At 42.1% G+C, this 26,006-nt stretch overlaps 1 gene segment (V, D, J or C) and 1 further gene; both read right to left on the bottom strand.

Annotated features, from left to right (window-relative positions):
- IGH (immunoglobulin heavy locus) overlaps positions 1–26,006 on the bottom strand; it is a 1,293,408-nt gene that overhangs the window by 1,143,737 nt on the left and 123,665 nt on the right.
- On the bottom strand, positions 6,937–7,374 carry IGHV1-69-2 (immunoglobulin heavy variable 1-69-2). The segment is given in 2 exon segments: positions 6,937–7,243; positions 7,329–7,374. Coding segments are annotated over 2 exon segments (353 nt in total), but the record flags the coding sequence as incomplete, so codon positions are not given.

Here is a 26,006-nt window from a genome sequence, read left to right on the forward strand (position 1 = left end):
TGCAGGAACAAACAGAAGAGAATATGACCTTATCTGGGGCAGAGGCCTGCAAATGTCATATAATCTAATGCAAAATTAAATTAGACATATTCATTGGATTGTTTAAAATTGAGTATAATAAAGAAGTTATTGTTTATTCTCAGAGGACATACGACTGAGGGAATCCTATTGCTATTGAAACCTTTTCTGCCAGGATTGAGGACACATCAGAAAAATCTCCAACCTCTCCCTCCCGAGATGGTTCTGTGTGGGAAACGGAACAGCAGCTGTGGCTGAAATGCATCCAGACCCACCTCCCTCACCACCACTACATGACCAAAGAATTAACATGCAGGGGCAAAGCCACTAACACCTCTGTGTTACAGGCACTGGAGGAACTCATAGAATCTGGGAAGGAAGAAAGAAAAGCTCCAAAGCTCTGTCCATTCTCTCAGGAATAACAGCCTCATCTCCCACCTCCTCTCTCTTCCCTCAGGAAAAATAGCCTCATCCTGCTGGGAAGGGCAGAAAAGAGGAAGCTGAAGACATCAGTGGAAGACATAGTGGCTGCTGGAAGAAGATCTGGGAAAAAACAACGAGACCCTCTACCCAGGAATGGGAGGAAGATGCATGGATCAGCATCACACCTGCAGGAGGGGCAGGGATACTTGGAAGGACACGTCCTCAGCCAGGACTGTGATGTCTGCCTGGAGTGTGGCTCCCTCAGAAGGACAGAGAGTGCCCGTTCTGTGCGACCCTTCCCACCACATTGACAATTATCAGGTCCATGTGGCTCTGGGATGACCTGGGTGAGATGAAAGACAGAGTCTCTCTGGAACACACAATTTAAGGCCCAATGCCAAGCAGAAAACAAAATTAAGGTGTCATTAGAGTAATCTGAGTGTCTGGTGGCTGAAGAGGAAATGCACTTAGATTCTGGGAGCCACTGTGACAATGACTTTCAAATGCAGCCCTGACTAGTTTCACACAATTTTCTACAATAAAGGCCAAGAAAAGAAAGAATCTGTCTGCAAAAATTGCAAAAAAATCATAAAACAAATAATTAGCTGATATAATGAACCTGATAGAAGAATCTGTGGAATGTAGATTTTGAAATAACTGCATAAATGCTTTGAAACATTTACACTTGATCCCATTGTTAGTCTATGCATAACTTCATAAGAAATTGCCAACATGTGCTATAACTAATACTAATATAACTAATACTATATTAATATCATGCTTGTAACAAAGACCACAGAGTAGGTTCTGTTAGAACTATCGATGAAAAAGCCAACTTTGCAAAATATTTGGAGAGATTTATTCTGAGCCAAATGTGGGGACCATGCCCTGTGACACAACCCCAGAAGATCTTGAGAACATGTTCCCAAAGTGGCTTGATGGCAGCTTAAATTTAATGTCTTAGAGAGACAGACTTCAACCAATACATGAGAGAAACGTGTTGATTTGGTCCATAAAGAAAAACTGCTAGAAGTGAGTCAGTATGGGCAGGGGATTACACCTTACAGGTGAACTCAAAGATTTTCTGATTGGCAATTGGTTGAAAGACTTAAGTTTTTTTCTAAAGACCTGAAAGCAGTAGAAAAACGTTTCTAGGTTAAGATAACGGGTTTTGGAGAACAAGATTCTTATTATGTATATGAAGTCTCTTTTTTCATATATATATATTTTTTTATTATACTTTAAGTTCTAGGGTACATGTGCACAACGTGCAGGTTTGTTACATATGTGTACATGTGCCATGTTGGTGTGCTGCACCCATTAACTCATCATTTACATTAAGTATATCTCCCAATGCTATCCCTCCCCCCTCCCCCAACCCCCACAACAGGCCCCGGTGTGTGATGTTCCCCTTCCTGTGTCCTGTGACCACTTTTAGAGGCAGTGGATGGGAAATGTTTTCTATTAAGACCTTTAAAAGATACTAGACTCTCAGCTAATCTCAGTATAACAAAAACACCTGGAAAGGGAAGGAGATTCTCTACAGAATATAAATTTCTCTCACAAAAGATAACTTTGCAGGGCGATTTTAAAATATGTCGAAGGAATATTCTAGCCTTTGATTCCTTTCAAAGTCTGCTCTCTGTCATGTGATGCTATTCTTGAGTCAAGTTAGAATTTGGCATTTTGCTGCTACAAAGAATCTGTTTTCTGAGGCTTAAGATCTGTTTTTATAAAAATGCTGGTTAGTTGTGCTTGAATTCCAAAGGGGGGAGGGTATAATGAGGCATTTCTGATCCTCTATTTCTAACATGGCGTGAGCTAGGTTTTCAAGTCTCTGGAACTCCTTGGTGAAGAGGAAGGGTCCATCCAGTCAGTTGGATGCTTAGAATCATAATTTTAGTTTCTAGGACAGATATGAGATTTATCTTAGGGGTACCAGAAAATATTTACGAGATAATCACATTGAAGTTGAGACTTGAAAGATGGTCCCAGATTCTTCCCTGCAAACTTTTTCTCCTGAGACTAGAAGAAGAAAACTTACCAGAAACAAATGTTAACATTTCTTCTATGTTCAAAATAGCCATCCATTAAGAAAACAGTTAAACTTGGGAGACTTATCTTTAGAAACAAGTAGTCCAGTTGATTTCTAAAGTCCTTTACAAACCCACAGACTCTGATTAGTTTACAGATTATGCAGCACATCCCATCTAACGGGTGTAGGGAGACCCCCTGAAACTATTGCTATGGAATAAAAGATGAAATCCTCCTGATTATTGTAAATATAAAATTGCACGCAGGATTGTGTAAAGACAATGCCAGGTTGGACTGCCAGAACAAGCCAACAGCGCGTGATGTGCTTCCCCCTGCAGAGAGCCTGTGAATGGACGTGCAGTCAGGGAGGTTTCACATCACCAAGATTCCTGTCCCAGAAAAGCAGATGTTCATAGCTCTGGGAATGGAATGCGACCCTTGTGGAGAGCCTATAAACGGACGCATGGGGGGCACCTGTCCATATGGATAAGATAGGGCTATAAACGCCCCCATCTTGCCACGGCTCTTCTAAGCCTCTTTAGGGTTAAGGCATACTCCCTTTTGAGAAATTCCGGTCTAACCCGTTGTCTAGCTTCACGTCCTGTTTCATGGATTGTTTGTAACCAGCTTTTGCTGCAACTGTTACTGCTGATTAATATCTTGCTAATCACAGGTTATGGAAAGACTGTGTTTCTGTTTTAAGGCTCTGTTAGAAATTATGGATGCACACACTATATTGTAAATTCTTATCTCTGTAACCTCTACATACAAATGTACTGTACTTCTGCATACAGATGTTATGTTAAAGAATTACTTCATCCTGATGTGACCATCTCACCTCATAATCAAATGATCCTAAATCCCTCACTAACCTACCCCCACCCTTACTAAACTTAATAATAAATGCTGGTATATCCAGTGCATTGTTGGCACCATGGGACCAGAAGGCGGTGACTCCCCTGGACTCAGTGTACACTATCTTGTGTGTGTCTATTATTTCTCAACCTGCTGATCCTCCTGGGAACAAAGAGAGAGCCCCATTGCATTGCAGGCTGCTGGCCAGATCCCACAATAAATGGGAATCTGCAATTAGCTGGATTCCTTGGCATTGGTGTTTTTTTAATGTTTAATTTATATAGATACATAATAGTTCAAAATCTTTAGGGGGTACAATTGATATTTTGATAATAGCATTTTATGTTCAATGATCAAATCTGGATAACTGGGATAGCCTTTATCTCAATCATTGATTACTTTTTGTGTTATGTGCACTCTAAATCTTATCTTCTAGCTATTTTGAAACATACAGTAAATTATTAACTGGAGTTGTCTATGTGTCGCTTTAGCATTCCCAGCAGCAAGGAGTGAAAGTTCCTGTTTTTCAACTTCCTCATCACCGTTTGATATTGTCTACATTGTGTATTTTACCCATTCTCATAGATTAGCAGAATTTTTAAAAATATTAAACAAACATGTACTTCATGAAAATCAAGTTGATCTCTTTTTATATATATTTTTAGATGTGGTTTCTATTCAGGTCTTTGCCCATTTTAAAATTAAATGTTGTGGTTTTATTGTTGTTCAATTGTAAGTTAATTTGTATATTTGTGATAAAATCCCTTTTCCAAATAACGGATTTGCAAGGAAATTCTCCAAATCTATAGCTTACCTTTTCACTCTTATGTAAGGGTTTATTTTCAAAGGCATAGGTTAGTTTATCCATATATGAAAAGAGGATAATTGTAATTCTACATTCTTAGAATCATTAGAATAATGTTGGTTAAAATAATCCCTGTATCCAGCACTTTGTAAGTTTTGGTATAATACCAGTGAGAAAAATTTATAGAGTGTTCTGCGAAGGCCAGAAATCAGAAGGTGATAAAGTGACAATCGTATTTGAATAATCCGGAGATATGAAGTGTATTGGGTATTCATCTCCTTCTATTTGTCTATGAAGAGAAAATGGATAGATGACATCTCCATGTGAAATGGGACACATAGTTTTTAAGATGATTCTGAAGGAAAGTTGCTAATACAATCTCTCAGGTGATGTTCCAACACAGGCTGTGGAGGGGATGGTGGCCGCCGGTGGTTGCTGTGGCCACTATTTTGTCCATGAGAGACATTAGACTGTGATGTACCACATGCAGGCGAGTTTCTTAATCTCAGATAAGGGGAGAACATGAGAACACAGAACACGGGAAAATTGAAGATCTCACTACATCAACCACATTCCACTGAGGAGAACTTGTCACTGAGAGACCCGGGGATGCTCAGGGAATGGAGAGGACTTTGGGGGATGTTATCCATGAAAGAACCGATCCAACTTCGTTGACTTCCCCATGGAAGGAGTGTTTATATGTTTATTCACAGAGAATGGTGGCTTATGTCAGGATTCCCACAGGTTTCAGAAATGGTTCTAATAACAAATGTCATACTTTGTTTAGAATTGATTTATTTTTTATAATTTATTTTCCCCCTCTAGGCAGCACCACAGAAGAATGTTCTCAGAATCCTTCCTGATCTTCTATGAGTTTCTGGTGTAGCTCCTGGAGGAAAAGGCTGTGTGGGAGGGAGCCCTCCTCATGTGCAGCCCTGAGGCAGTCCCGTCAGCTCACCCACCACTGCCCTTCAGTCACTTCCTGAACACTTATGAGTTAACCTTCCTGAAACGTGATATTTGGCAGTGTCTTTCCCAGGTAATAAAATACTTCCATTCTGTTTATCCCTGCAGGCCCCTGTCCCTTTCTGGAGCATGGGTTGCAGTTGAGTGTGTGCTAGTGGATAATCAGTGGGAGAAGGTTTGTGTACATCTTGTCATCTTCCAGAGTGCACCCCTCATGGGGTGGACACTGACAAGCACGCAGATATGCTTGCTCAGCTGAAGGATGACAGACGTTTTTGTAACCTGTGACCCAATCAGGCTCAGGCCTCTGGCTAAAGTGTAGTCAGCAAAGGGTACAGTGCCCAACCCTGAGAGCTCCTTCCACGTGCCAAACCACTTTGTAAAGGAAGCTTTGTTTTTCCTGCCTGGATCTCATGCATGTGTTTGCATTTTCTGCCCAAAGTGCTTTATCCAGAAACACCCACAAGATCTTACAGTGTTTTGAATCCGACTGAAGGGCATTATTCACGAAAGCCCTCATGACCAAAGTCTCCACTTCTCATTAAAGGACATTAATTATAGGATTCAGCAGAAGCCACTGGCCTTTTAGTTGCACAGACCTGCCTCTACACCAGTGGTCCCCAACCTTTTTGCCACCAGGGAACAGTTTCATGGATGACAATTTTTCCATGGATGAGGGAGGCAGGTGGTTATGGGATGAACCTGTTCCACCTGCAATCATCAGGCATTAGATTCTCATAGGGAGCGGTCGCCCTAGATCCCTTGCATGCACAGTTCACAATAGAATTTGGCTCCTAGGAAAATCTAATGCGCAGCTGATCTGACAGGAGGCGGAGCTCAGGCAGTGATGCTCACCCCCTGTTCATCTCCTGCTGTGCAGCCTGCTTTCTATCAGGCTGCTGACCAGTACGGGTTCACTGCCTAGGGGTTGGAGACCCCTGCCGTAAGTGCTTGGAGACCTTATCCTCTTGGTAGGGGCATATAAAACCAGGAGTCAGACGAGCTCTAAACCGCTGTACATTTTATGGACTCTTGAGGAGATCCCCTGCTGTAAATTCTTGGAGACCTTACCTTCTGGAAAGGGGCATAGAAAACCAGGAGTTAGTTGAGCTCTAAATCAATGTACATTTTATGGATTCTTGAGGAAACAGTGCAAAGAGGATCATCCCCACTCACTTTCCCTCTACCTGGCATCATTTCCTGTAACCCACTAGAAGAACCTGGGGTGCTTCAAGGTAATTTAGGCTTGTTATACCAGGGGCCACCAGGAAAGGAAACAATCAAGGTGTCCATGTGGGTTCATCTGTTGCAAGTTATTTATTACTTCAGCGCAGGGTGTTGATCATGGAGAAGTCTGTGCATGTCTTGGGCAGGAGTACATGGGAATGCTGTTTATTCTACTCAAATTTGCTGCAATCCTAAAAATGTTTTAAAATAAAATTAATGTAAAAGGAGTGGCAAAGACATTTTGTTAGAAATGTTGGTCACTTTTTAGAAATTATATTTAGTCTTACCATGTGATCAAGCAATCCTGCTCCAAATGATTTATCCATTCGATTTTAAAATTTATGTCCTCACAAAGGAATGTTTGCATCCACTCCATTGATTGCTGCCTTTCCCACTCTGTGAATGTTACTTACAGGGTGAAAGTTGAAAAGATTATTTCCTATATAATTGGAATGTATACATCTTTCTATTTCTACTTTTACTCTGTGACTTAACCCATCTTCTAAACACTTTAAACCTCATAAATGCTGTCATCTTTTCAGCCCCAGCACAGCTGCCTCCTTCCTCAGGGTTTCTGACACTCTCAGCATGTGGGTTTTCACACTGTGTCTGTTGCACAGTAATACACGGCCGTGTCCTCAGATCTCAGGCTGCTCAGCTCCATGTAGGCTGTGTCTGTAGACGTGTCCGCGGTTATGGTGACTCTGCCCTGGAACTTCTCTGCGTATATTGTTTCACCATCTTCAGGATCAACAAGTCCCATCCACTCAAGCCCTTTTCCAGGGGCCTGTTGCACCCAGTGCATGTAGTAGTCGGTGAAGGTGTATCCAGAAACCTTGCAGGAGATTTTCACTGTAGCCCCAGGCTTCTTCACCTCAGCCCCAGACTGTACCAGCTGGACCTCGGCGTGGGTGCCTGTGGAGAAGAGAAAGGAGTGGATGAGACACCACTTAACTGGACCCAGTCCCCTCATCAGCCCTGGAACTAAGGATTCTCTTACCTGTAGCTGCTGCCACCAAGAGGAGGATCCTCCAGGTGCAGTCCATGGTGAGGTGCTGCTCTCTGGGGGCTTCTGTAGGGGAGGGATGTGGCTGTTGTGTGATGCTCTCTGGGCAAGGACAGATCTGTATTTACCTCGGTAGACACCACTGCATTTGCATATTCATGAGGCAGGTATTTCATAGCTTAGGCCACCCCACCCTGGGGAAGAAGATAGGTGACACACGGACCATGCCACAGTGGGACACTGAGCTCCCTGCCCTGAACTTTGTTTAATGATATTTGTCCTCTGACACACTTAGAAGTCCATGAAGACAGAACTCCTCTTACAGAAACCCAGAATCTCACAGGGCATTGTCCTCACTGTGATTTCTTGTTCCTATGGCTCACTGACAATCTGAACTTTTCCTGGGCCTTGCCCTCTGCACATCTAACTTCTGGGATGAGTGTGTCTCCGGAGAGTAACACCCATTGAATTAATAAAACCACCCCTCAATTCCTAACTATAAATACATTTGAAAGGCCTAGACATTTCTCCTTTTAAATGTGTTTTGCGTTAAGTTATTGGGTTTGGTAGCCTCTGTGTATGCAAGAGAATACTAAAGACACATCAGTACTTGCTAAATTCTTATTTAAATTTTATGTCATTATGGCTTTGAAATAAGGAATATTCAATCCCTGAGAGAAAACCCCTCCACAGCCTCCTGTGCACCTGCTCCAGAGCTGGATCCTGTGCTGGGTGCATCCTGAGCGCCCCCTGCAGCTCAGCTCCTGCCCTGCAGGGAAGTTCTTTTCTGGGCTCACAGAGCATTTTTCTCCCAGCATCTCAAGCCCAGTATGACCTGGCTGTGCCCTGGCTAAGAATGCTCCTTCAGTGACAGCAACTACTTCTCACATCACTTCTTACACTAGAAAATAGACCTTAGGAAACCTAACATATCCCACAGGGAGACCTTGGCACAGGAAGCAAGGAATCACTAAATCCACCAGGGAGCCCCTTCCCTGGAGCTCCAGATGCACTGATATGGTCCAGACACATGGCGAGTCCAGGAACTGATGGGGACTTTGGGGCAGCCTCTTTTTTTTTTTTCTTTAGGATTCTGTGGTCGAAGTTTACATCAGATTATCACTTTACGCACACACCTTATGTTTCAAGGTCCACCCCCCACCTACCCCCCCCACACACACTCACGGTGGCATATTTGCACAGTAACAAGCCTCCAATTTGCTCTCCTTCCTAGTGTCTTGCCAATGAAAAGTGCTTCCAACACTGGCGTTGGAACTGGGGTTCTGCAAGCCCCCTGTTGCCCTGAGCATGCCCTGCTGGTCATGAGCGCCCCCTGGTGTCCTGAGTACCACCTGGTGGTTCTGAGCTCCCCCTGGTGTCCAGAGCGCCCCCTGGTTTCCTGAGTGACCCTTGGTGGTTCTGAGAGCCCCCTGGTGATCCTGAGCAATGCCCCCTACAACACACACCATGTCCTGAGCGCACCCTGCTCTGCTGAGCACCCTCTGCTGTCCTGAGTGCCCCCTGGTGTCCTAAGCACCATTTATCACAAAGTCCTCTCTTGTCTCCCTGCAGGGAGGTTTCCGTCTGGACTCACAGAAATGTCCCTCGCTGTATCTCTCACAGTAATACACTGCCTACCCCTGTGAGAGCCCCCTCAGCTTCCAAGTAGATTATTTTAAGGGAGACTGTGCTGGTAATTGGTGTCCCTGGGAATTGTGAATCTTTATTGTGCTGATGCAGAATATCACTGAGAACTTCCACTTGAATCAATCACTGTTACCACCCTCTCCAGCCTCTGTCCCCCAGCCATCTGGACTCAATTCATGCTGTAGTCAGTGAAGGTGAATCTTGATGCTTTGCAGAAGAGGCTAAGAAAACAGCCAGGCTGTTTTGCCAAAGATAAAAATATAGATCCAGTAAACATTTGAGGTTTCCCAGGAAGGTGGGGAGAAGGTGTGTGGATTAGGTGAAACACATTTTTTAATCACAATGAAGCTATCTTTTTTTTTTGAGACAGAGTCTCACTCTGCCACCCAGGCTGGAGTGTGGTGGTGCGATCTGTGCTCACAGCAACCTCCACCTCCTGGGTTCGTGCCATTCTCCTGCCTCAGCCTCCTGAGTATTTGGGACTACAGGTGCCTGCCACCACGCCTGGCTAATTTTTGTATTTTTAGTAGAGATGGGGTTTCATTGTGTTAGCCAGGATGGTCTCGATCTCCTGACCTCGTGACCCGCCCACCTTGGCCTCCCAAAGTGCTGGGATTACAGGTGTGAGCCACCATGCCCGGCCAATGAAACTATTTTTATGATATTCAATGATGGACACATGGCATAAAGAATTTCTGAAAACTCATATTTTTTGAGACAAAGTGTTAACCTAAATGCATACAACTTCGAAAGTATTTAGCAGGTCATGAAACACAAAAAAAGACAGCTGTATAAAAATATCTAACAACAATCAGAAGGTTTGAACTAATTACCCTGAAGAAGGTGGGGCATAAATATTGGACACAAGAAACTTGGAAAGAATTTGATGTTGCGATTGTAAAATATAAATAAGCTCCACATAAGCACTGTATTCTAGTTGATAAACATATTTTCAACAAGGGTCAGTTTAACAATCCTAAAGACGATTTGTGTATTTTGAAATTGTGCACTAAGTAAATTAATGTCATATGGTAGGAGAGGTTTTCTCATTTTGGAGTGTGGGATTATGGACAAGCAGAGAAAGAAGGCTATGAATGTCTATGTGGATGACAGTAGTGTGTAAAAGCCAGTGTGTTCTTAGGTTTAATGTAATATAGTTACAGAATATTAGACACATAAACACTTAAATTTTGAATCTTTGTGGGTAAATAGTACATGTATATTTTTATGGGGTACAGAACTCTGAATCAGCATGAACTGCATAATAATCACATTATGAAGAATAGTTTATACATCCTCTCAAGCATTAATAGAGTTACCAACATTCCATTCATAAACTTTTATTTTAAAATCTATAATTAAGTTATTGAGGACTATACTTATTCTGTTGTGTTATCAAATATTATGTGTTATTTATTATTTCTAATCACCTTTTCTACCCATTGACCATCCCCAATAATCCCCATCTAGCATAGACCTTCCCAGCTTCTGGGGACCATCTTTTCCCTCTCTATCTCCACGAGTTCAATTGTCTTAATTTTTAGCTTTCACAAACAAATGGGAACATGTGAATTTCGTCTTTCTCTTCTGGGCTCATTTCAATTAATATAATGAACTCCAGTTTCATCCATGTTGTTGCAAATGATAAAATCTCATTTTTTTATGGCATAATATTAACCCATATCCTATATGTACCATATTTTATTTATCCATTCATGTGTTAATCGGCACATAGGTTGCTTTCAAATTTTGACTGTTGTGAACAGTGCTTTAACAGCGCTATTACAGACATGGTAGTGCAAAAACATTTCCTTTTTAGGGGTATATACCAGCAGCAGGATTGCCAGATTATAATGATAACTATCGTCAGGTTTTGAGGAAACTCTAAGCTGTTCTCTATAGCGGTTGTACTAATTTAAATGCTCAACAGTTTATGAGTGTTCCCATTTCTCCACAGCCTCCCAGGATCCTGATGTGGAGCTGCTTTCTAAGAGATTCTTCCTGTTCTGAGTGCCCACTGGTGTTCTGAGCGCCCCCTGGTGTCCTGAGCGTCCCCTCGTGGTCCTGAGCTTCCTTCCCCTCGCGGTTCAGAGCGTCCCTTGGTTGCCTCAGCGCCCCCTGGTGGCTCCAGCACGCTGACATGTCCTGAGGTCCTCCTGGTGGCCCTGAGGGCTCCCTGGTGGTCCTGAATGCCCTCTGGTGCCCTAAGAGCCCCCTGGTGGTTCTGAGCGTCCCCCGCTGTATCCTGAGTGACCCCCTGGTGTCCTGAGCGCCCCCAGCTGTATCCTGAGGGCCCCCTTGTGTTGAGTGCCCGCTGGTGCTTCTGAGCAGCATCTATCATGCAGTTCCCTCCTGTCTCTGCAGATTTTTGTGTCTGGGCTCGTGCAGATAATCCCTCTCCTGTGAACCTCACAGTATTACACAACCTTGTCCTTGGCATTCAGGTTAGTCATTGTAAGGTAGAGTGCACGTGAAAGGGTGTCGCTGGACCAGTTAATTTATTTGTACTCATGAAGAGTAACCCTGAGCACTCCCACTTGCTGACTCACTGTTGCCAGCCACCACAATCCCTGTTGTGAAGCCTGCTAGACCAACCTCAGGCTGTTGCCAGCAAAGGTGAATCCAGCCACTTTGCATGAAAGTCTCAGTGAATCACTGGGCTGTACAACGTTTACCCCTCTGACTCCACCACTGAACTTCATACAGGACTTCTATGAACACAGAGGAAATAGACTGAGAACAACCCTATGAGCAGCCACAGCTGGACCTGATTTACAAGGGACACTAATATTGAGGGTGATGAGAAGGGAAACCCAGATCAGTGCAGACTCCATAGTGTGAACACTGAAGAAAGACACAGATATGGGGTGGCTCCTCACCAGGGCCTGAAGGAACAGGGGATGAGCTGCCTTTCATGAGGAGGGGATGGGACATATTTCCACGTCTTTCTCTTTGTGGTCGTAGGTGCACCACTCAGCGTTGCTCATCCATCCTCTGTGTCTCCATTTCAGGGAAGGCAGAGTCAAATGATTCCTGCATCTGGATGCACAGGGTTAATCTGCCCATTGCTCTTTCTTATTCTCTAATGTGGACACTGTTCAGGTATCTTCATGTGAGCAAACATTGTCAACAAATTAGTCCAGTAAGAACATAAGAAATACATTTCCAGAGAAAATGGAAATCTGACTGTAATCAGTGCATTTATAGCTGCAAACGACTGTTTCTGACAATGAGAAGAAGTTATGTTACAATGGACAAAATGCAGATCCACAGGTTTTCAGGGTTGGAGTTTATAATTATCATTATCTTGAGATCATTTTGTCGCAAGACAGTTTAACATTGGATATATGTGCTTGTGTCAGGAAACAGTCAATGTTGAAATATGTGTACTTATCTGAGTGAAGACTTCATTCACATTGAGACATGTTTGCTTATCTGAGACAAGAGTCCACATGAGGAAATGTCTGTTTTCTGAGGAAAGTGTAAATGTAAGGACATATGTGGTAGTCTGAGGAAATAGTCCATGTGGGGACATTTGTGTTTGAGGGAAGAATCCACATGAGTGAAGCTGTGTCTGTCTGACAGAAGAGGCCACATATTGACAGGTGTGTACCCATCTGAGGGCAAATGCCCATTCAGGTCAGTGTATGCCTGAACTAAGCTGAAGTTAGGGGAAAATCTTTCTCAACCAATGAAAGAAAAGAATCCTTTGGGTTATTTGCTTGTCGGGAATTAAAAACAAGGGTAAGGTAGAAAATTGATTTTTTTAAAATAAAAGGTCTTCAGTGAATGGAAACATTGTATATGCAAATAAGGAAAATTACTTCATTCTTTGTTGCATGTATCTCATAACATCCCCACTCTCACCAAATAAGTTATTGGATAATTTTATACAGTCTGCATTTAATCCTGGGGTTAATGAACTGCTGAATTTTTTTAAATTGAATATATTTAAGTTTATATTTTCCATCACAAAATTATTAGCTTAGACAAATTAGTTATGTCATATCTCAGCCATTGCATATCACTAAAAATAGTTTTATTTTTCTTAAACATCACTTTTTTTTGCTTATTTTATACCCACTCTCTAAATTCCTGGAACATCCTCTATCTGTTTACTTGACTATAGTTTAAGCATTTATGGAATTTCAAATAAATGAAATTATACAATGTAATTGAAATGACTTCATTGAAGAATGTGGAAAATGAAGTTGCTGACCTAAGCAACTCAGAAAACGAGGAAATTCCATAAGTTTAATGTGTAAAAAATCTGCACATAAGCACTCTATTCTAATAGATAAACATGGTTCCAAAAAGGGTACAGCTTTACACTTTAGATACTGCTATGCATGTGTCCTGAAACTGTGCAGCTAAGTAATAAAATTGCATATGGTGGAATGGGGTTTCTCACTTTGTAGTGAGTGGTTATGGAAACTCAAGGAAAGAAGACTAGAAAGGTCTCTGTGCTAACATAGTTGGATGGAGAGACCAGTGTGTTCTCATTTTTAATGTAATAGGGTTACAGAAGATTAGATACATAAATAGTTTCAATGAGTCCATAAACTTGGGTTCATATAAACATGCACGTTTACTGGGACCGTTGTTTGAGAGGTTCTAGAAGTACTCATACCACATTAACAACACACAGAGCCAGTATCACAATGTTTTATTTTAATACTATTCTTTAACATCAGAAACATGCAATCTTTATAAAAGTGGTTGATTCTATGTAAAAAAAAGGTAATAAAGAAAACAAGCTTAGAATTTATGGTAATACCAGGAAATACGCAAGTTTTCAAAAACAAAAAAATGAGGTGTGAGGTGTGCTGTAAGGATGCAGGATTCAAACAAAATGAGCTCCCAGCACCTAATAAAGCTGTGGTGCTTTGAACAATTAAATGAATGATGTAGCATGGATCTTTTTCAAAGTATAAAATGGACATCCATCAACCAATACTGATATTAATAGATGATCAATTAAAAAATAATAGGAAGAAGAACACATCTCCTTACAGAAGTATTCCAAATACATTAGATTGATGGTCCTCCAATCAAGCAGGTGAAGTTTAAACACTCATGAGTTGATTGTGGCCTGAGATTAGAGATATGGAAAAAATAATGACTATTAGTTTATTTTATAATGAAACTTCAGATATAATGCCAAAGACATGATCTATGAATGAATAAAATTATATATGTTTTCAATCTAAATTTGTACAAACACACACACACAAACACACACATTTTTCTGCGATACCTACTGATAAGGGAGTAAAAGGCAACCACAGACTTGGAGAAAGTACTTCCTGTGGGGTTCAGTCAGGCTCGTGGGAAAAATTTTAGTTATAATAGCCACAAATCCTCGTGGAAGGCTTGAGAGATTGCATAACTTCAGTAATAAATCTGGCTGAAGGCAGCCTAGTCCCCTTACCTTTAGTTTAGTAAATTTGAGTAGAAACAAAAGAATGTGGGGAGTTTATCTAACTAGCTTGTTCACTCATGTGGTCCTAAGACTCACCTTTGATCTACCTGGATGGTCAGTCAAGCTGGCAAAGCAGAATATCTGTGTGTCAGTGTACTTTATTCACCCGTTGTTGTGTCAGGACCTGCAGGACAGACCCCCACAGCCGGTGCCCCATGTGAGGATCGCTGCAAAGGGAGCGTGACAGACCCCATGAAAACGAAGGTTGAGGAAGACTGCGTGGTCAAGTCAGTAAAACAGTAAGTCATTGGTGCCCACTTGGGATCTCCAAGTTCAGGGGAGATTGTTCAGGCTGAGATTTCATCATGGGACAGCAGTTATCAGCTCAACACAAACAGCATATAAAAGTATTGTAACAGTTGCTTAAGGCTAGGGGAGCATCAGTTTCGCAGGCTCAATTAAGGCACCTAATGAAAACTGTTGTCTCACATAATCTGTGGTCCCAGAAGAAGGAAAGCTAGAAGTAAAGCTCTGGGAACAAGTAGGGAGAAATCTTGAACAACATTACACACAAGCGCAACGGGTCCCAGCATCATCTTTAACACTATGGGCTTTAGTAGAGATGGCTTTAGTCCCATTATACAAAGAAGAACCCAAAAAGGGGAAGGAGGAAGAAACGTCACTTGCCTTACCACCTGCTCTTCCCAAAATAACAAAGAGGAAATGGAGGTTTTGCCTGAGCCCCCTCTTTCAATAGATAGAAAAAATAGAGGAAATACACTACAGCTATATGTCCCTGTCTTCGACAAGCAGCATTAAAAGGGGAGCTCTTAGACTGCCCAGTAATGCAAGATCAGCAAGGCAATCAGGTACACAAAGGGTTAAGAAAAGGCATTAGGGGCAGGAGCAAGTGCAGGAAGCTCCCCTCTGCCGGCAGCAGCTGCTGAGCAGTGTGGGGAGGGAGCTGGCACAGAGGAAACGCGGTGGCGAAAAGTGGCTTCTAAGCAAGCACAAAGCGGCAGCCGCCCTGGGACCCGCCTGCTCCGCTCTCTGGCTCCGCAGGCGGCCCAAAGCAAAATTTGTTATGTTCCTTGTACACAAGCTACATCCCAGATTATAATTCTATGCTAATAGTTAAGTAAAATTCAAGGATTTGAGAAACCTCTTTCTAATAATGACCACTGTTATCTCTCTCTTATTCCTAACATGACTCCAAATCCAGTTTAAGTAAAACAGTAACCTCTAAAGGGAGAGACATTACAAAAAGCCCCTAAGTTAGTTAGGGAGCAATTAAAAGCAAGCTTTGCTCCCTAGTAGAAAAAAGTTTCCTGGCTACAAGAGTATTCATTTTATGGGTAATATTCTACTAACAGCCCTTAGAATTTACCCATTTTCATCATTCCCAAAAGGCCTAGTTAACGTGTTACCTACAAAAATAGTTTACTCCCCCATATTTAATGCTTTAGCACTGTTTACTGATAGATCTGGTAAACATGGAAAAGCAGCAGTCTGGTGGACACCACACAATTCATTCACTCAATCTGGGTTTACTAGCACTCAGAAAGCTAAAGTTGAGTCCTTAATATTGGGTCTAGAGAACTTTTACAGCCCTAATTAAGTCAACTCTGGAGCCAGCCCTGTGGACTCTTTTTCTCTGATTTCAGCAATTGCTAAATCAAAGTACACATCCTATTTTTATTACACACATTCCAGCCCACAGCTCACTGCGTGGTCCATTAGGTTATGACAATAATCAAGCCGACCTTCAAGTTATGATATCACTGCTTGACCAAGCCACCCAATTGCACCAATTTTTCCACCAAAATTGGAAAAACTTATCTAAACAATTCCAACTTACACAGAGACTGGCTAAACAAATTATCTTACAATGCCCAGATCGCCAGCTCACAGGTACGTCTCTTCCTTCAACAGGTATTAACCCTAGAACCTAATCTGTTGTGTCAAACAGATGTTACACACATCCCTGAATTTGGAAAACTTAGATAGGTACATGTATCCTTTGATATCAACACTCATTTAATTAGTGCACATACTCTGGCTGGAGAGTCTACTCGATATGTCATTAAACATCTTCTTTTATCTTTTGCATTTATGGAACAACCCACAAAAATTAGAACCGATAATTGTCCAGGTAATGCCAGCTCACAATTTCAACAATTTTTTCACATGTGGAATATACGACATTCCACAGGTATCCCATATAACCCCCAAGGACAAGCAATAGTGGAACGTGCCAACTCCACCCTTAAAATATGCACAAAAAACAAAAACGTGGGAGTATGGGTACAGACCCTGCAACACTTTTGGCACAAGCCTTATTTTTTTTTAATTTAGAAGACAAATTTGAATCCGCTGTAGAAAAGCACTTTGCTAAAATTTCCCAATACATGAAACCTGCAGTTTTATGGAAAGATGTAAACAGTAATGAATGGTGTGGTCCAAGTGAATTATTAATGTGGGGAAGAGGGTATGCTTGTATCCACACCCCCTCGGGTCCTCTTTGGGTTCCAGCACGACGCATCAAACCATACCAGGACATTGCTAGGACCCAACCCAGTACCAGAAATGAAGGAGTTAACCCTACAAGACCTACAGCCCCGGACGATGCAGCTTCTGTGAACAACACAATCCCCAGACATTACCTGGGGGATACTGAAAAAGACAACTCAGGAGGCTGAACGAATCCTGCTCCAAATGCAGACACCATTTACTCCAGATAATGTGTTTGGTGCTATGCTTTCTGTTGTACATTGCAACTCATGTAGGGTATTAATCCTTTTTATGCTCTCACTTTGTCTGCAACCTGTACCTGCTACACTCTATTGGGCCTCTATCTTAGACACACCTTTCTTTCACCCTGCCAAATGGGAAGACACTCCCTTCCCAGCCTATAGTAACGTGACTGCTTGGCTAGGAGGGATAGATTTACCCCACGTGGGGTCCCTCAATAATGGCACACATTGGACTAAGGTGGCAGATAACACTATATGTCAATCCACTATTATCCTCCCAGTGTGTGTAAGTTATAAAGACTCTAACCCTTACTGTGTACCTGCCCAAAAACAAGTATGGTTACATCATAGCAAAGGAAATGCCTTAACATTCTTAGCTGCAGATAGCCTCAAACTGAGCAATGCAATCCATGCCGCTGCTTCTTTCCCAAACATTCCTTCCTGTGCTAAGGAACAAAGCTGGGACAGTAATCGGTTCGACTTTAGCTGGGAGGTCTGTCATGGGAGACGAGCCCATAGCCTCCAGTGAGGTAATTATAACATCTTAGACTGGAGACCCAACGGCTGATTGCAGGGCAGCCTTACTAATACCTTCATCCATCAGAGCATCAATCAGTTTCATAGCCATGTCTTTTCCCCTATAATTTGTGCCAATGGGGGGATGGCACATCCAAGGCCCCAAGTAAAGTCCATGCCGCCCCAAGGTACTTTATGGTGTCTGGGACATCTTAGCACCTCCCTTAACACCTGGCATGGGACATACCATATTTCCCGTTGCAACTATGCTATAAGCTTTATTCATAATCACACTGATCAGTGCCTAATTTGCACTACCCATCCATACGATTTCCTTATGGGAACTAACATTTCCATTACACCTCAAAACTCCACGTTTGTGACCTGGATGCAGGGACAGGCTTGGTTTGCCTCATGTATCACTAATCACAGTATATCTAACTTAAAAATTACTAGCGCCATGGTATTAAAGAGAAAATCTGAGGCATTCTTACCAGTCAATCTGGCATGCAATTGGCAAGGTTCCTATGCCCTTGCAACCTTAGAACGTGCCCTGTCCCAGGTCAGACACAAAAGATTCATAGTTACACTTATGGCCTTTATAGTCTCAGCCATAGTCATCCTGGCAACAGCTAGTGTTGCTGTTGCATGTATTATTGACTTAGTGTAAACTGCTGCCTTTTTAGATAATCTGGCCAAAAATGTGTCTAATGAACTTCTCTTACAGCAAGGTATAGATCAAAAAATTATCACACGTCTGCTAGCCCTTGAGGCTGCTTTAGAATATGTCAGGGAGCGACAAGATGCAGTGGCATTCTGACAGCATTTAAACTGTGACTGGGAACATGAACATATCTGTATCACTTCTCTACCACGGAATCTATCAATACATAGTTAGGATGAGGTAAAACAATACCTCTGGGGAACCTTTCATGACAATTTAACAGCAGACGTAAAGTAAGTTCAAACTAAAATTTTAGAATCTCTTCACGCAATAGATCTACACCCCCAACAAACAGTCATATGGAAGGGTGTGTGAGATCATCTCTCCTGGTTAGACCCCGCTCCTGGGGGTCACTCTGACTGGAAAAGAATGTTGCTAATTCTACTCATGATTGTTTTATGTTATTTGCTAATTCTAGGATGCAAAGCCAGAATAAGAGCAATGACTGCCACACCTGACAGACATGTTGCTGCGCATATCTGCACGCTCCAATCCAAAAGACCTGATGTAGAAAACAAAAAATGGGGAGATGTGGTGGTCCAGTCAGGCTGGTGGGAAACATTTTAGTTCTAATAGCCACAAACCCTCTTGGAAGGCCTGTGAGTTTGCATAACTTTGGTAATAAATCTGGCTGAAGGCAGCCTAGTCCCCTTACCTTTAGTTACATAAAGTAGAGTAGAAACAAAGGAATGTGAGGAGCTTATCTAACTAGCTTGTTTACTCATGTGTTCCTAAGACTAACCTTTGATCTACCGCGGGTGCTTAATTGCTTTCCACTCAAGAGGTCCACAATGTCAATTACCTTCTAGTGGTGTTTACTCACGGCCTTTGTCAATTAATCTTTACTGAATAAATGTAAGTCTCCCTGACTGATCGAGGCGGTGGCTGTGACTAAGTGGCCCAGATGCTCAGTCGAGCTGGCAAAGCAGAATATCTTTGTGTCAGTGCACTTTATTCATTCGTCATTGTGTCAGGGTGTGCAGGACAAACCCCTGCAACTTCCAAGTCACATATTTGTTAAATGAATTCTTTTAATTTGTTAATTAACTTTTATAATCAATATGCAAGTAAACTTACAACTAATCAAAAGAAAACAGTGCTATTGAAAATGAACCAAATATCAGGAGAGGCATCTAACCAAAAATTATATGAAAATTGTTAAATATGAATTTTATTAGGGTCATGTGCATTTAAGCAAAAATTAGATACCATTACTCACCTATTATAATGGTTAAAACACACAATTCTCATAATGATAAATGGTAATATAATGTGGAAACCCAAGAACAATCATTCATTGATGGTGGGAATTCAAAGAGGTACATGGTCAAAATGAGACTCTTTTTGGCATTTTTTATAGAGACAAAAGTAGAGTTAAAATGTGATCTTGCGTCTCTGTTCCAAAACATTTACAACACTGATTCAGAAATTGATGTTTACAAAGATACCTTCAGAGGAATTTCTATGTCAGCTTTATTAATTTGATTAATTCTCCAATCCCTAGAATTTGCTTACAGAATAAATGTTGCATAAGAAATCTCTCAAATAATTACAATTTCTCAAATACACATTTATATTGTTCCTTTTTGTAAATGACTTAATGCTATTTTCTAAGAAAGTCTTCAATCTAATAATCTTTGTCATCTCCTCCATGCCAGCACAGCTGCCTCCTCCCTGGGGTTCCTGACTCTCTCAGGATGTGGGTTCTCGCACCGTGTATCTTGCCCAGTAATACACAGCCGAGTCCTCAGATCTCAGGCTGCTCAGCTCTATGTAGGCTGTCCTCAGGGACATGTCCCTGGTAATGGTGACTCTGCTCTGGAACTTCTTTGCATAGTTGATGTTACCATTGTAAAGTGTGATCCATCTCATCCTTTCAAGCCCTTGTCCAGGGGCCTGTTGCAACCAGTGCAAGGAGCAGTAGGTGAAGGTGTATCCGGAAGCCTTGCAGGAGACCTTCACTGAGGCCCCAGGCTTCTTCACCTCAGCCTCAGACTGCCCCAGCTGCACCTGGAAGCAGACACCCATTGGAGGGTGGGACACAGGAGTGGATGAAAGCCTCCTTGACTGTACTCAATCCCCTTCTCATCACTGGGACTTGGGAGCACCTTACCTGTAGCTGCTGCCACCAGGAAGATTAGCTCTAGGTCCTGTCCATGGTGAGGAGCCATGCTCTCGGAGGATTCTCTAGAGGCGGGATGTGATTGTTGGGTGACGCTCTCAGGGCACAGACCATATTTACCTCAGTGGATCTCAGGTATTTACATATTCATGAGACAGGGCATTTCATAGCTCAAAGCCTGATCCATGATAAGAAAGGGAAGACAAATGACACATCAGCCTTGCAAGAGTGAGATGCTGATGGTCCAAGCCCTAATCCTGCTTGAGGAAATGCATGCCCCTGTCCATTTAGGAATATTTGTGGACAGAGGTCCTTTCACTGAAGAAGAAGCCCCCTCAGAACGGCCCCTCACTGTGAAACTACATTAGATTAGCACAGAGACCACTTGGATCATTCTGGGGACCATCTCGGTCCATGACACAGAGCAGGTGCCTTGGCCCTATGCTGGACCCGTCAGACACCAGCACAGCTCACTGATGACTCTGAGCAAGTGACGCTGATGTCCCACGTGAGTGGCCAGCACGTTCTTCTGAGATCCCTGGGGCGCTCCTGAGACAGTTTCTCCAGAACCTTCTTGGTGTCCTGATTCCTCAGGATCGTCAACAGAAAAACTCTTAGTTTACAGATTTGCCCTGTGATGCATAATTGGAGATGATTTTCTTATGTCATGGACACTAGGATTCAGAAGTTGAAACAGGAGTTAGGAGTTCTTTATGAACTCATGCTCCCATAATAATTTCAAGGGAATTTGTGTTTGGATAAGTTTGGGTTTTATTTCCTACTGGATTTATTAGAATTTCATGAACTGTTTACATACTTTCAGTTCATGTGCATAGATCCTCATCTTTACATGCTGATTTCTGACTCACTCTCAGATCCACACTCTCGGATCCACCACTGCCCTGTCACTCACACAATGTAGGCAACTTTACTTAACACTGAAATCTGAATTTTTTTTTTGGAGATGGAATCTCGCTTTGTTGCCCAAGCTGGAGTGCAGTGGCGCAATCTCAGCTCACTGCAAACTCTGCTTCCCACGATCACTGCCAGCAGCATTGTCTGAGGCTGTAGGTCTTGTAGGATTAAATCTCCTGCCTCAGCCTCCCGAGTAGCTGGGACTACAGGTTCATGCCACCCCACCTGGCTAATTTTTTGTATTTTGAATAGAGACAGGATTTCATGGTGTTAGCCAGGATGGTCTCCAGCTCCTGACCTCGTGACCCCCTCACCTCAGCCTCGCAAAGTGCTGGCATTACAGGCATGAGCCACCAGCCCCAGCCTGAAATCTGAAATTATTATTCATAGAAATATAGTGACTCCCATAATTCTCTCTGCATTGAATTAGTAAGACCATCCCTATTCTTCATATTCTCACTATTAAGGTATTTATAATCTTAGAAGCCGACTTTAAAAAGATAGTTCTCCTTGTCTTGAATTGTGGGAGCAGCTCAGATGTGATAGAATATTTAAAAAGATAGTTCTCATCGCCTTGAATTGTGGGAGCAGCTCAGATGTGACAGAATATTTAAAAAGATAGTTCTCCTGGTCTTGAATTGTGGGAGCAGCTCAGATGTGATAGAATATTTAAAAAGATAGTTCTCCTTGTCTTGAATTGTGGGAGCAGCTCAGATGTGATAGAATATTTAAAAAGATAGTTCTCATCGCCTTGAATTGTGGGAGCAGCTCAGATGTGATAGAATATTTAAAAAGATAGTTCTCATCGCCTTGAATTGTGGGAGCAGCTCAGATGTGATAGAATATTTAAAAAGATAGTTCTCATCGCCTTGAATTGTGGGAGCAGCTCAGATGTGATAGAATATTTATAAAGATAGTTCTCATCGCCTTGAATTGTGGGAGCAGCTCAGATGTGATAGAATATTTAAAAAGATAGTTCTCCTTGTCTTGAATTGTGGGAGCAGCTCAGATGTGATAGAATATTTAAAGAGATAGTTCTCATTGCCTTGAATTGTGGGAGCAGCTCAGATGTGATAGAATATTTAAAAAGATAGTTCTCCTGGTCTTGAATTGTGGGAGCAGCTCAGATGTGATAGAATATTTAAAAAGATAGTTCTCCTGGTCTTGAATTGTGGGAGCAGCTCAGATGTGATAGAATATTTAAAAAGATAGTTCTCCTTGTCTTGAATTGTGGGAGCAGCTCAGATGTGATAGAATATTTAAAAAGATAGTTCTCATTGCCTTGAATTGTGGGAGCAGCTCAGATGTGATAGAATATTTAAAAAGATAGTTCTCCTTGTCTTGAATTGTGGGAGCAGCTCAGATGTGATAGAATATTTAAAAAGATAGTTCTCCTTGTCTTGAATTGTGGGAGCAGCTCAGATGTGATAGAATATTTAAAAAGATAGTTCTCATTCCTTGAATTGTGGGAGCAGCTCAGATGTGATAGAATATTTAAAAAGATAGTCCTCATCGCCTTGAATTGTGGGAGCAGCTCAGATGTGATAGAATATTTAAAAAGATAGTTCTCATCGCCTTGAATTGTGGGAGCAGCTCAGATGTGATAGAATATTTATAAAGATAGTTCTCATGGTCTTGAATTGTGGGAGCAGCTCAGATGTGATAGAATATTTAAAAAGATAGTTCTCATCGCCTTGAATTGTGGGAGCAGCTCAGATGTGATAGAATATTTAAAAAGATAGTTCTCATGATCTTGAATTGTGGGAGCAGCTCAGATGTGATAGAATATTTAAAAAGATAGTTCTCATGGTCTTGAATTGTGGGAACAGCTCAGATGTGATAGAATATTTAAAAAGATAGTTCTCATCGCCTTGAATTGTGGGAGCAGCTCAGATGTGATAGAATATTTAAAAAGATAGTTCTCATGGTCTTGAATTGTGGGAACAGCTCAGATGTGATAGAATATTTAAAAAGATAGTTCCCATTGCCTTGAATTTTGGGAGCAGCTCAGATGTGATAGAATATTTAAAAAGATAGTTCTCATCGCCTTGAATTGTGGGAGCAGCTCAGATGTGATAGAATATTTATAAAGATAGTTCTCATGGTCTTGAATTGTGGGAGCAGCTCAGATGTGATAGAATATTTATAAGGATAGTTCTCATCGCCTTGAATTGTGGGAACAGCTCAGATGTGATAGAATATTTAAGGGCACACCAGCAACTTATTGAATTTTAGCTTTTTTCTCCCAAAGGAAGACCCAGCCCCTGAGAGGAAACCTTCTCAGCAGCCTCCTGTGCACCAGCTGCAGGGCTGGAACCCGTGCTGAATGGCTCCTGAGTGCCCCCTCCCGCCCAGCCCTTGCCTTGCAAGGAGGTTCTTGTTGGGGCTCACAAAGCATTTCCCCCCAGCTTCTCTAGCCCAGCGTGAAATGGCTGTGTGCTAGTGTAGAATACTCCCTCAGTGACACCATATGCTGGTGACACCATCTCTTGAAATAATTGATCAACTTTACTAAACAGATTGAACTCTGCCATGAGACTCAAAGCAAGGGTTCTATGACACAGGACAGAGCCCCTTCTCTGAAGTTCCAGATGCACTTAAGCAGTGGACCCACAGTGAATACAAAAACTTGCAAAAGATTTGGGAGTGCCTTCTTTCTTCATTGGGCTCTTGCAGGTGAATGTAGCATTGGAAAATACCAGCAGGTGCAGATTGATCGAGATGAAAGCCCGCTCCATATCCACTATTCCAATAACACTATAACACTATAACAATAACTTCCTAATAAGGAAGAATTTTCCCTTCTTCCTAATGCCTAGCCTATAGAAAATTCCTCCTACACTGACACTAGGCCCAGGTATCTGACTTTTTTCTCCTAGAGATCTAAAGGTCAATGAGGGAGTTTCCAAGACCTTGATCTTAAAAATGGTGATGTCAGAGGCTTCAGATTGCTTTGTCGTCCTTGTCCTACTCTCTGCCTTTGTCCTTTAGTTTTCCAGTGTTCTTCTCACATAGAGTCTGTGCATTGCCACACTTCCATCTTTAATCCAGAGCTATCACACTGGTTAGAATGGATTGTGCAGTGCAGGCAAGCACTGCCTGTTTTGACAATGGAAACCTAGAGACGCGATCGGCTTCCTCTTCTGGGCTGTGACTTTGACCAGGAATCTCCAGGGGAAAAGCTACTTTGGCCATTACTCCCTTTTGTGGTTTCAGTGCCCCTGGACTATTTACTTACATCTTACCCCTATTGGCTAACTTTGCTCATGTGTATAATAATGGAAGAATGGGAGAGAAATCTGGAATGGGAGAATTGTCTTCCTTTACATAGGACAAGGTTCTCGAAAAGTCCTTCCATGTAGAAGCTTTTGAAAAAGTCTCCCGTAATATTTTTCAGTAATTAATCTTCTCCGATCTGACAAATAGGAAATGTATTTGGATAGTATTTTTTAGAATCTGGAGGTTTCTGGTGAGAAAGTCCATAAAACATAGAAGTATAAGACCCTCTGGAACAGTCACATTTACTGAGTCCACATCTGTCTTTAAGACAACTATAGTGCTTATCATGTAAGTGCCCTCAACAACTTGTGGCTTCTGTAGATTCTCTTCCAGTTAAACAAGTGTCAACTGCCATTCTGGACATGGCTGTCTATCCAGGTTCTTGAGTGGGTATTTTTTTTTCAATTTCAGTTACTTAGCAGATTCCAAAAAGTATTGGCATTCAGATTATGCAGATTTCCTTTGACATAAAAATGAATGTGATGAACATCATAATCTATGTGTCAGTGCATAAACCAAAAGTACAATCAAAGGTCTCCATTGATGTGTTACTGGAGGCAGAATTCTGATCTTATTACGTATAACAGGCACCTGGTATGACATAAATGAACAGGCAAGAAAACAGAGTAAGGACATGGCAGAACACTTATGAACAAGTCTCAGCAATTTTAATTTTCTTCTGAGGAAGTTGAAATTGTGAAAGTGAAACAGTGGGACTGGTCATGTCTCAGGTGATGTTGTCTTCTGGAAAGTGTCTCCAATCCTGGGCTGCATCCAGTAGGTGCACCTGGGCTCCCGAACCTGAAACATGGACTCTTATTCCTTAAACACAAGACATTCCAATGAGAAAGCTGTTCTCAGGTGAGCTACAGAGCAGGGAGCAGGAGATGTAGGTGTCCTTCGCTTCCTAGAATTACTGAAACTTGAAGACCAAGGCCTCCCCTGAGGGGCAGAGATCCACCTATGAGTACATCACATCAGTCTGTCTTCGGGAATCTTTGGCTTTATGGGAGGATAGGAAATGTGATTTATTCCTTTCTGCTAATGCAGTGTGCATCAGAGAAAATGAGTTGAAAATTTAATAAATATTTTTTTCCATATTAGGGGAGAGAACATGTATAAATCACGACAATACAAGTGCTCACTACAGAACCTGCAGGAGGAGCAAGTGCACAATTGAGAGAAGGCAGCGCCCTGCCCGAGGAAGCAGGTGCCCTGAGATCATCCCCTGGGAACTGTGCTCTAGGTGCCGTGCGCCAGTGGAACCTGGGCTGGGGCCTGGGATTTGTAGGTG

This window comes from Homo sapiens, chromosome 14 (assembly GCF_000001405.40).
Source record: "Homo sapiens chromosome 14, GRCh38.p14 Primary Assembly".
Taxonomy (NCBI): Eukaryota; Metazoa; Chordata; class Mammalia; order Primates; family Hominidae; genus Homo; species Homo sapiens.